At 40.4% G+C, this 12,360-nt stretch overlaps 1 long non-coding RNA gene across 1 annotated transcript; it reads left to right on the top strand.

Moving 5' to 3' along the window:
- Positions 1-3,639: 3,639 nt before the first annotated feature.
- LOC105370784 (uncharacterized) lies at positions 3,640-12,102 on the top strand. The gene is made up of 3 exons (XR_001751505.1): positions 3,640-4,797; positions 10,327-10,709; positions 11,869-12,102. It is a non-coding gene; the product is annotated as an uncharacterized LOC105370784 (long non-coding RNA).
- The last annotated feature ends 258 nt before the right edge of the window (positions 12,103-12,360 follow it).

The following is a 12,360-nucleotide window of genomic DNA, read 5'->3' as shown; positions in this document are numbered from 1 at the left end:
CCTGTGAAATGGGGCTGATGATAATATTCTGTCCCTAGCTGCCCTGGGAGATGGTACTGCTGATCAAATGGGACACACAGTGAGGCGTTTTGTGAATTAGCGAGTGCTCTGGGAATAGAAGCAAGTTATTTTTTGCACTGAAAAGGCAGCTACCTTGTCCATTAGGTATTTCTCTCGGAATCAGAATGAAGCGATTGGTTAAAAATTGAATCATTAAAAATACCAACTTAAAATAGAGCCAGAATGGGATCTGTGTTTCAGGTGGTCAAGAAAAGTATTCAATTACTATTCTTTAATTTACCTGTTTGGGAGTTAAGTTGCTGCTTTATCACGTGATTAAGGCCATGGGATTCCTCTAATATTCTTTTTTTTTTTAATTATACTTTTAAGTTTTAGGGTACATGTGCACATTGTGCAGTTTAGTTACATATGTATACATGTGCCATGCTGGTGTGCTGCACCCACTAACTCGTTATCTAGCATTAGGTATATCTCCCGATGCTATCCCTCCCCCCTCCCACCACCCCACAACAGTCCCCAGAGTGTGATATTCCCCTTCCTGTGTCCATGTGATCTTATTGTTCAGTTCCCACCTATGAGTGAGAATATGCGGTGTTTGGTTTTTTGTTCTTGCGATAGTTTACTGAGAATGATGATTTCCAATTTCATCCATGTCCCTACGAAGGACATGAACTCATCATTTTTTATGGCTGCATAGTATTCCATGGTGTATATGTGCCACATTTTCTTAATCCAGTCTATCATTGTTGGACATTTGGGTTGGTTCCAAGTCTTTGCTATTGTGAATAATGCCGCAATAAACATACATGTGCATGTGTCTTTATAGCAGCATGATTTATAGTCATTTGGGTATATACCCAGTAATGGGATGGCTGGGTCAAATGGTATTTCCAGTTCTAGATCCCTGAGGAGTCGCCACACTGACTTCCACAATGGTTGAACTAGTTTACAGTCCCACCAACAGTGTTAAAGTGTTCCTATTTCTCCACATCCTCTCCAGCACCTGTTGTTTCCTGACTTTTTAATGATTGCCATTCTAACTGGTGTGAGATGGTATCTCATTGTGGTTTTGATTTGCATTTCTCTGATGGCCAGTGATGATGAGCATTTTTTCATGTGTTTTTTGGCTGCATAAATGTCTTCTTTTGAGAAGTGTCTGTTCATGTCCTTCGCCCACTTTTTGATGGGGTTGTTTGTTTTTTTCTTGTAAATTTGTTTGAGTTCATTGTCGATTCTGGATATTAGCCCTTTGTCAGATGAGTAGGTTGCGAAAATTTTCTCCCATTTTGTAGGTTGCCTGTTCACTCTGATGGTAGTTTCTTTTGCTGTGCAGAAGCTCTTTAGTTTAATTAGATCCCATTTGTCAATTTTGTCTTTTGTTGCCATTGCTTTTGGTGTTTTAGACATGAAGTCCTTGCCCATGCCTATGTCCTGAATGGTAATGCCTAGGTTTTCTTCTAGGGTTTTTATGGTTTTGGGTCTAACGTTTAAGTCTTTAATCCATCTTGAATTGATTTTTGTATAAGTTGTAAGGAAGGGATCCAGTTTCAGCTTTCTACATATGGCTAGCCAGTTTTCCCAGCACCATTTATTAAATAGGGAATCCTTTCCCCATTGCTTGTTTTTCTCAGGTTTGTCAAAGATCAGATAGTTGTAGATATGCGGCGTTATTTCTGAGGGCTCTGTTCTGTTCCATTGATGTATATATCTGTTTTGGTACCAGTACCATGCTGTTTTGGTTACTGTAGCCTTGTAGTATAGTTTGAAGTCAGGTAGTGTGATGCCTCCAGCTTTGTTCTTTTGGCTTAGGATTGACTTGGCGATGTGGGCTCTTTTTTGGTTCCATATGAACTTTAAAGTAGTTTTTTCCAATTCTGTGAAGAAAGTCATTGGTAGCTTGATGGGGATGGCATTGAATCTGTAAATTACCTCGGGCAGTATGGCCATTTTCACGATATTGATTCTTCCTACCCATGAGCATGGAATGTTCTTCCATTTGTTTGTATCCTCTTTTATTTCCTTGAGCAGTAGTTTGTAGTTCTCCTTGAAGAGGTCCTTCACATCCCTTGTAAGTTGGATTCCTAGGTATTTTATTCTCTTTGAAGCAGTTGTGAATGGGAGGTCACTCATGATTTGGCTCTCTGTCTGTTGTTGGTGTATAAGAATGCTTGTGATTTTTGTACATTGATTTTGTATCCTGAGACTTTGCTGAAGTTGCTTATCAGCTTAAGGAGATTTTGGGCTGAGACAATGGGGTTTTCTAGATATACAATCATGTCATCTGCAAACAGGGACAATTTGACTTCCTCTTTTCGTAATTGAATACCCTTTATTTCCTTCTCCTGCCTAATTGCCCTGGCCAGAACTTCCAACACTATGTTGAATAGGAGTGGTGAGAGAGGGCATCCCTGTCGTGTGCCAGTTTTCAAAGGGAATGCTTCCAGTTTTTGCCCATTCAGTATGATATTGGCTGTGGGTTTGTCATAGATAGCTCTTATTATTTTGAAATACGTCCCATCAATACATAATTTATTGAGAGTTTTTAGCATGAAGGGTTGTTGAATTTTGTCAAAGGCTTTTTCTGCATCTATTGAGATAATCATGTCAAGTGGGCTTCATCCCTGGGATGCAAGTCTGGTTCAATATACGCAAATCAATAAATGTAATCCTCTAATATTCTCTATTTTTCCTAATTGCTGACCGTATCAAGTTCAAATGGTGTAGACCTGAAGGTAAAGCCTATCGGGAGTAAAAAATCCAAACCCCTAAACCAAAAACAACAATAAGAAAGAAATGAAACACTCCATCGGGATTTCCTAAGTTAACACTGACAGAAGGTAGATGGAAGTTTAATAAAGGGGCACTGGGTTGACACTTGGTGCACATGAGCCTGGCTTTATGACCTTGGCCATCTGTGCCTTCACTTGCCTCTTTGGTTTCACCTCCCAGTCTGTCCTTTATGAATTCTCTCATCCTCCTTAACTGAGGTACTTATTTCCTCAATCCTCTGTGTACTTGCCAACCACTGCCTTTGTTCAAACCATCAAACCACCAGCCCACCGTGCATCTCCTCTGCAATGCTGTCCTGTGTCCGTGCCTCTCCCTTCTTTAAGGATGCAGGCATCCTCCAGGAAGCGGTCCAGGAGCCTTGGCCCTCTGCAGAGGAGCTCTGCCTGAGCCTCTTGTGTGCCCTTGGCTCTGATTGCCCTGCGTTGTACGTTGTGTATTTGGACAGCTGTTCCAAAAACTGTAAGACCCTCAAGGCTGTGTCTTTTCACCTCTGCCTCCCAGAGTCTAGCACAGGTCTGTAAACATCAGAGCATAACAATTTCTTATTGTTGATAAAGATTCTGAAATGCTAGTCTCCTTTGATGAGAAAGAGTGAACAGGCCAAGGTGGGTGGATCAGCTGACCTCAGGAGTTTGAGACCAGCCTGGCCAACAGGGTGAAAGTCTGTCTCTACTAAAAATACAAAAAATTAGCCGGGCATGGTGGTGCGTGCCTGTAATCCCAGATACTCAGGAGGCTGAGACAGGCGAATTGCTTGAACCTGGGAGGCGGAGGTTGCAGTGAGCTGAAGTCACCCCATTGCACTCCAGCCTGGGTGAGAGAGTAAGACTCTGTCTCAAAAGAAAAAAAAAAACATAGTAAACAGGGATGGGTACTAACTTTTACAGAGAAACCTAATGTGCAATGAGTGTATGAGGGGGGATGGTTAGATGCGTTGGCTCTGGAATGAGACTGCAAGCCCATTTCTTACTTCCAAACATGTGTAAGCATTAATTAAAAATATTAAATATTTGGATACCCATCTCTCTAATAATCAAGTTTCTTACTTCCTGACTTAGCATTCAAGCTGTACACCCACTGGCCCATGAACTAAAAACGTTTTTTCATTTAGGCATTAGAAACAGATGTAGAGCTGAATATTGAACCTATTTAGATGATTTTGACTTGGAACAGAAGATATTCTGCTAAAAAACTATTCTTAAACCCAACAAGAGAGGCTGTTCCTTCACAGGTAGAATAGTAAACTCATGTCTCTCATAAAGAGAATTTGTAAGTGGCCTTTCCCGCCAACCATTGAGACCACAGTCACATTTAAATCGTTTCATCAAATGAGGGAATTTTCTTATGAGACAAATTCTAAGCACTCAGGCCATGCTACAGTGAGTTTTTCAAGGGAGACCACGTTTCCCAGGTGTTTGGGGGCTCTTGTGCATCTATTTAGGGACTCAGAAATAACTTACTTCAGGCACGAACTTATAAAGAATGTCTTCACAATCCAAATGCAACTTGAATCACAAAAAAATTAAAGTATCTTTTTTTAAATCTCAAGACATTAGAGATCTAAATTAAATTGAAGAAACACACATTCACAATGCTTGAGTTTTGTTGCCAGCCTTTATTTGATAATGCTGCCAAATATACCTTATTTTAGAAGAGCATTGTGAGATAGCAGAGAGATGAAAGTTAGACAAAGAACAATGCTGCCATGGAAAAGGCAACTGTGTGCTCATCACCCCTGCCCAGTGGTGACAGGTGGACACCTGGGTAGGAACGCTGCTGCTGGTTGGCTGGTAGGAGGTGCTGCAGAGAGACCCCTACCTGACTGTCATCCTCTCTCAGTGGCGAGTCCATCTAGTTCAGACTCAGACAGGTGGAAGAAGTCAACTCCTAACTAGGGTATAATGAAGCATGATGGAAGTATTTGACCCAGCGGCTCTTCTATACCCAGGAGGCCCTGACTGCCACATTCACCAGTTGATTTTCCAGGTGAGGACAAATGGAGACTGATAAAGCTGTGTTGGGATAAGGTTGCTATTGGTGGGATTGACTCACCCTCTATCTGAAGCCTCATTCTGATATCCCCCCCTGAGCAGGGAGAAGGATTAAAATTTCTGCCTTAGTAAATGACAAATCCCTAAAAACAGATTATGAAAGTGGACCACGAATAGTTTTCCTCTGGAATACCAAGATACCCTGGTATTCCAGAATAGAATATTTTCCCCACTCAATTTGTTTCCAGGACACGATGCCCAAGAGTTAATGTGTTCTGGTAGCATAGAAGGCACATAGTCTTGTCTTGGCTGTAGGACTGACACCATCATGAACACCTTGGATAATCACTGGGCTGTACTTGTGCCTCACCTTCTCCATCTATATACTGAGCGCTTTATGCTTTGGAGAAAACAACATGTTTGTCTACATGACTCTTCCCTGAATGACTTCTGCCAGTGTCTGCAGTTCTTGGTGTTAAACCTTCTTGGATCTACCCTTTCTAAGGGTATGGCTTCCAGTGGTTCAAACCTGGTGCAAATCACCCCTATTCAGAGAACCATCCCCAAACTTCTGCATCCAATGCTCTGTGAGACATCAAGTAGAGAAGTAGACTATGCTCTGGGGAAGGCTTTTTTTTTTTTTTTTTTTTCAAAAAAACACTCTGGAGGAAGAAACAGTTCTACTCTGTGTTTCTCTGTGCTCCTCGTTCCTGGCCCAGGCAAGTGGGTGCTTCTTTCAGGCAACTGGAAAACAGCTGAAGAAATGCAATGGCAGCTCTGCACAGAGACAGAGTTGCTTAAGAGCCATCCTGAACTCAGGCCCGAAGAGCACTTTTAAAGCTAGTGATCTCGGCAGGAGCTGGCAAGATAGGTGTTGTTGGAAAACTTCTGTGTTTAGTTCTAAGTCATCTTCTTTTAGTTTCTTCCCTTAAGGAAAGGAATGCAACAGAAGAGAGCAAATTTGTTTATTTTCCTGACATCCCTTCATCTGCAGAGCATTAGGAACCTGTCTGTTATGGTCCTGGTTTGCTACTGGACCAGAAGGGAGGAAATTGGGGTAATAGAAGGATTCCTTTGATATAAAAAGACAACAATGCAACTAAACAAAATCCACATACCAAGCCTCCAGCTGGTGCCTATTGGATGAGGGCTGGTAAACAAGAACCTAAACTGCCCAGATTATAATGTGATTGGGCTTCGCTTCTCACTCTGAAATGCATACACAACCAAACAAAGGACATTAGCATCAGTGCTGTGCATCCCTCTTAACAGTCAATCATTACATTTATGACTGCCCTATGAGAGCTCAGGATCCCTGATCTTCCCTGATTCTTGGAGCCTTCCTCTGTGCTGCAACTGAGTTTAGTGAGAGAAAGAGTGAGCACAAACATTGGTTCCCCAAACATGGCAGCTTAGGTTAACCCTTCAGCCTCAGCCAGGGTAATGGAGATTGCTGCCAAATTTGTAAAGTTGTATGGGTAAATTTTATTATCCTAAACTTGTGTGTCTTCTTATAGGAGGGAAACTCATTAAGGATAGGAAACATGTCCCTATAGAAAGCATAACTTCCTCTTCCCTCAAGTGTATGCCTCCTAACTGCCCAGGGTAACTAGTCCCTTAGCCTCCTGTCTGGGCCAGACATGGAATGATTTCTATCCTAGCTGTCACACCTGGGACAGTGACACTTATTAAATTTTACTTGATTTAGTGCTGAGACCCTGTCAGTCGGGTTTTGGGCAGTGGCTACAGTCCCTGTCATTTTTACCACTCTTTGAAAATTGATTTCTAGTGGCAATAAATATGTTGGTTAATGAACTGGGGACAGTTTGTTTTTAGACCTTTAGAAAGACAGTTATCCCTATAGGTCATTTTATTCAAATTCTCCACCTATCCATGCAAAATGTTCTAAGATCCCTAAAAGAAAGTTCATTCTGTCTGTTTTAGTTGAAATCTCCCAGCCCTTGTTAAACGCTGTAGTTGCAAAGATGACAAAGTGTATGCAGATGGGTGGGGAGTGCCTAGCTCACGGTGGTTTAGATATGTACTCGACCCTTTCCCTTGCCTCTGGGCTGAATGGGGACTACCTCCAGGATGTTGGTTCCTCTGAGTTTGTGGAATATATCATAATTTGGCCTTATCTGTGTCCGTTCTTCTGGAAGCTTGGATAACTGACAGCTTGGTTGTCAATTAAAGTAAATTTTGATTATGATTAGGGGGTAAGAGTGACAAAACTGCCACATTTGGTTTAACACATTTTCCTTTTTTAGTTAAGAGAAGAAAGAGCCAAGAGTTGTTAGCAGCAGTTTTGGCTTCCATTGTGAAAATAAGTTATCTTCACTGTGAGAATTCTCCATGGGACTCAGGGCAAATCCAGGCCATAATAATGCCTTTGTCTGATAAGCAAAATGGCAACATGTGGAGGTGGTGATATGGTTCAAGGAATACTAGACTTGCGGTCTGAAGACCTGAGTTCTTGAAAGGGGGACGTCCCTTATTAGCTGTGTAACTAGCAAGTCACAATCTCCCTGAGGCCCTGTTTCCTCCTCTGTCAAGTGTGGATAATATTTTCTCTGGCCACCTTATGGGGCTATTCTGAAAACCCCAAAAGATGTAGTAAATTTGATCTTACATGGGGGTTCTAAAATCATCACCTATGATGATAATCAAGTATAGTAAAATTATCCTCATGAATTGTTAAGAGTCCATGTAGGAGATGAACATTCTTTTTCCTGATAAGTCCAATACAATCAACATTTTTCCATTTCTGGACAGATCATTGTTTCTTCAGTTGAGTATAAAATGAAGCACGGGAAAGCTACTGGGTACTATGCTTATTACCTAGGTAATGAAATAATGTGTACACTAAAACCTTTTTGAAACACAATTACCTATATAGCAAACCTGCACCTGTGCCCCTGAACCTAAAATTTTAAAAAGGGATATATTAGCATTTCCATTTAAGGAAGCATGGTTAAACTGGAAATAAAACTGAACCTAAGTTTCACCCATGTTGCTTTCTTTTCTTGCTCCTGTGTTCATTGTTTCATCATTCATGCAACAAACTTAATAAATAAAATGGCTTATCAAAAAGTAGGATTTAATATAACTGAGAGCAACACAAATTCAACACAACTTAAAGTTGATGTGATTATGAAATGCAATTATCAGCAAAGGTAAGAAAAAAAATCTAAAAAGTGAACAACAACCACAACAGATGAACCACTTGATTTGCATTTAGAGGCTCTGTTGTACCAAAAAAGGTGTCTTTTAAACAGTAGAAGCCAGGTTTGATGGTGTGCATCTATAGTCCTAGCTACCAGGGAGGCTCAGGTGGGAGGATTGCTTGAGCCCAGGAGTGCGAGGTTACAGCGAGATATGATTGTGCCACTACTCTCCAGCCTGGGTAACAGAGTGACACCCTCTCACCAAACAAACAAACACCAGTAGAATTTTACTTCACATGATGAGATTCTCCTAAAATGACATAGGAGACATAGGAGCAATGGAACCAGCCGGAGGAAAAGCGGTCACATCACCCTTCTCAAACTCTTGGAATGAAATGGTAGATGGAACCACCCATTGTTTCTCTTTCTTGTACAGGCTGTAATTGCTTTTCTTTATTACCTCGTGTGTGTATACTTGCATTCTTATAAGTTAAATGCATGCATGTGACTACAGTGCAGTAAAAGCTTTGAAAAAAAAAATCAAAGGGCTATACAGATGAAAGGTGAAGGGTTGCAAGACAGAGAAGGAAAAGGCGGCTTCCCAGAATGGTGAGTCAGAACTGCCATGATAAACCCAATGGTTGCTTTTTGGGGAAGAGCAAACTAGGGTGCGGGGTGCTGAGGCTACAGCTGCTGTCTAGTTGCTAAGACAAGGATCTCAGCAGAAAAGGTTTTTTTGAAAGCAACTTTGAAGATATACAACAAACTGCATATATTTAATTCAATTTGATGAGCTATGATGAATGTATATGCTCATGAAACCATCACTATAACCAATATAACAAAGATTTCCATTTTTCTGAAAAGATCCCTCATGCTTCTTTGTAATCCATCTTTCCCTCCACCTTCATTTCCAGGCAACAAATGATCTACTCTTTGCCACTACATACTAGTTTGCATTTTTTAGATTTTTATATAAATATGTAAATGGAATAATACAATATGTATTCTATTTTCAGGGGGTTTTGTATTTGTTTACACAAAATAATGATTTTGAGATTCATCCATATTGTTGTATCAACAGTCTGCTCTGTTTTCTGAGTACTATTGTATAGATATATCACAATTTGTTTATCTAATCACCTATTGATGGACATTTAGGTTGTTTCCAGTTTTTGTCTGTTACAGATAAAGTGGCTGTGAATATTCATGTATGAGTCTTTATGTGAACATGTGTTTTTATTTACTTGGTGTAGAATTGCTGGGTCATTCCAAACATTGTATGGTAGGTTTATGTTTAGCTTTAGAATCTACAAAACACTTTTCCAAAAAATTTGTATCATTTGCTATTTCCACCAGTAGTGTATACAAGTTCTGCTTGCTCTGCATCATTGCCAACGCTTAGTATGGTTGGTCTTTTTAATTTAAATCTTTCTGATGGATGTGGAGTGATATTTCACTGTGGTTTTCACTTACATTTCCCTGATGACCAATGATGTTAAACATCTTTATATATGATTTTAGCCCTTGATAGATACTCTTTTGAAGTGTCTGTTCAACTTTCATCGCCCATTAAAGAAAATAGGTTGTTTGTCTAGTTCAATAATTGTAAGTAATTATTGAGTTGTAAGGGTTCTCTATACATTTTGGTTACAAGTCCTTTGGATATTTTCTCCTAGGCAGTGGCTTGCCTGTCTGTTTTCTTAATGGTATTTTTCACAGAATAAAAGTGTTTAATTGTGATGAAGTAGCATTGAGCAAACAACATTTCTAATAAATGCTCCATTATTTTTACTTTCTTCCTAAGAAAAGTTTGCCCACTCCAAGGTTACAAAACTTTTCTCCTTTATCTTTTTTAGAAGTTTTGTAATTTTATATTTTGCATGGAAGTCTGTGATCCATTTCAAATTCCTTTTTGTATATGAAGAGAGTTAGGGGTCAATATTCATTTATTCCTTTATGGATAGGTAATTGATTTGGTAGCATGTGTTGGAAAGGCTATTCTTTCCTCATTAAATTGCCTTAGCACCTTAAATGAAAATCAGTTGACTATATATGTGTTGGCCTATTCTTGGCTTCTATTCTGTGTAGGGTTTGCAGTTGTCATCTGCAAGAGGTCTAGGCTATAGGGGACTCATACTTTCATAACAGAACCAGATTCCTCAAATAGGTTTTTGACATGAAGTTTATGTTTTCCATTATGAAATTAATATATTGACTCCTAAATAAAATAAAGAGCAAAAAAGTAGAAAGTAGAGAGAAACATTCACTTATTATCTCACTCTCTGAAGCAAGCTGCTTTTAAGTTGAAAAATACATGTTCTTCCAATTTTTTTCTCTCTCTCTCTCTGAATATTTAGGGAACATAATCAGAGGCAGAATCGTCTGGTGGTTAAAAGTACAATCTGGAGTTAGACTGCTTGATTTTCAATCCCAGCTCTTCCACTCATCAGCTTTGTTATCTTAGGCAAGTAACTTAATATCACTTGGCTTTGTGTTCCTCATCTCTAAAGGAAAATCTACAACATATGCTTATTTGCGAGGCGGGGTAGGGGGCCATGGGGTTGAGTTAACCTATGTGAGTCAGTTAGTGTAGTGTCTAGAACAAAAGAAATGCTCCAAAATTCTTGGCTATCCTCATCAACACCTTCATTTCTTCCATCCATTTCTAAATACAGCCATTTTCTCAGGGCCAGGTAACTAGATTGAAGCAGAGTCCATGAAGAACTAACCATGCCTCACTGTGAGTATGCTTTCATTTTAACATGGTTATCGTCTTGCTTTATACATTTTTGCATACACTTAACAGATGAAGCTGACCCTCTAGAGGGCTAGTGTTCAGATACCAGCACTGAGTTCCACATCCAGTGAAGGCGTTGGGCCTCTTGGCAGCTGTTGGGTAGTAGGGCTGAATGCCAGTTAGCAGGATGTCCACCCAACCTGTGCAGTGTTGGGAAAGTGAATGCCAACCTTCAAAGACCAGGGGGCCTCTGCAGAACTGGCTTCCAATTGCTATCTGGCTTATCCCCTGCCACCAATATGCCAGCACTTTAGCAGTGGACTTATTTAGCTCTTCAAGCCTAGAATTTCTTCTTACAAACACAATATGCAATACAAAGATGACAGGAAAGTGTCAGTAGATTTTAATTATTATGTATTTAAAAATACCCATATATTGCAAACATAGAAAATTACCTATAGGTTATTCATGCCTGGATTCACCTTCTATTGTTTTCAAGGCATGGAAATATGTCCATTTCTAGATTTTACATGTAAAAATTTGTAGTATGAGAAAGGGCAGCAAAGGTGTGATACAGCTGTGGAACCAGCTCCATGGAACAGCTGTGCTCCAGTTGTTTAGATTCCCCCAACAGGAAGACGTACAAGGTGAAATTGTGGTTCATATCATCTTTGAATCTAAAGTCTCCTGTTGATCTCAGCTTTTTTTGAGAAGATATTGTCTTTTGTAGTGTAAATCTGCAGAAGAACCTATGTAGATGAGGAAAGATGACTATTCACATAAATCCTTGGAGATTTAATGGCTGTGCTAGATTTTCTCCATTTGCACTGCTAGATCCAGCCTACCCTTCTCTGGGCTGCTCTGTGGAAGCTGATTTACAAGGATCTCATCAGTGGATATTGGGCTTGGCCATTGGGAGGCAGCAGCAAGAGATCATAGAGTGGGAGGAGAGGAAGGCTTGGGTGTTAATTTCCCCTTTTCCCTCCCTGCTCTGCTGTTCCCTGAAGGGTTTGGATCCTCTGCAGCTGGCCTCACAGCTATAGCTCTCTCACTTAGGGCTCTGGTAGCAGCTCCCTGCTTGACCCTCCAGGGAGAGGAGAGTTGGCACCTTTCTGCTGTGGCTACTTGTGGGATGCTTAACTCTCCCTGTTGGTTCTCTCAGCCACCCCTGCAGATGGCTCCTTCATGAAGATCTCCCCATTTGGAACACAACATCTGTTTCCTGCTGGGACCCTGACTGACACAAGGGTCAAAATAAGCTCCTCCATGGGAAGCATTGAGAGAGGCAGAAAATAAAGAGAAGGAAGATAATACTATCCATTCATTGCAGTCGTCTATGTGCTAAACACTGTGTGAAGCATTTTGCATGTATTCAATAAATATTTACTCAATGCTTTATGTGGGTTAAACACTAATAAATAGACAGTTTCTCTGCTCTCAGAGAGATGACACATGCAATCCTCATAACGACCCTACTATTATTATCATGACTTCTAGCATAGGAAAGTTGAGTCTCAGAGAAGTTAAGTTACTTTCCCAAGGTCACCAGCAAGTAATTGCAGAACTGGAATTCGAGCCCTGGCTGTCTGACTCTAAAGCCCACACCCTCTTCTCTCCACTGTAACAACAGCTGCTCATGTACCCTCGCAAGTCG

This window comes from Homo sapiens, chromosome 15 (genome assembly GCF_000001405.40).
Source record: "Homo sapiens chromosome 15, GRCh38.p14 Primary Assembly".
NCBI classification, from domain to species: Eukaryota; Metazoa; Chordata; class Mammalia; order Primates; family Hominidae; genus Homo; species Homo sapiens.
The sequence above is the reverse complement of the archived record's forward strand: the minus strand, read 5'-3'. Positions and strand labels throughout refer to the sequence as shown.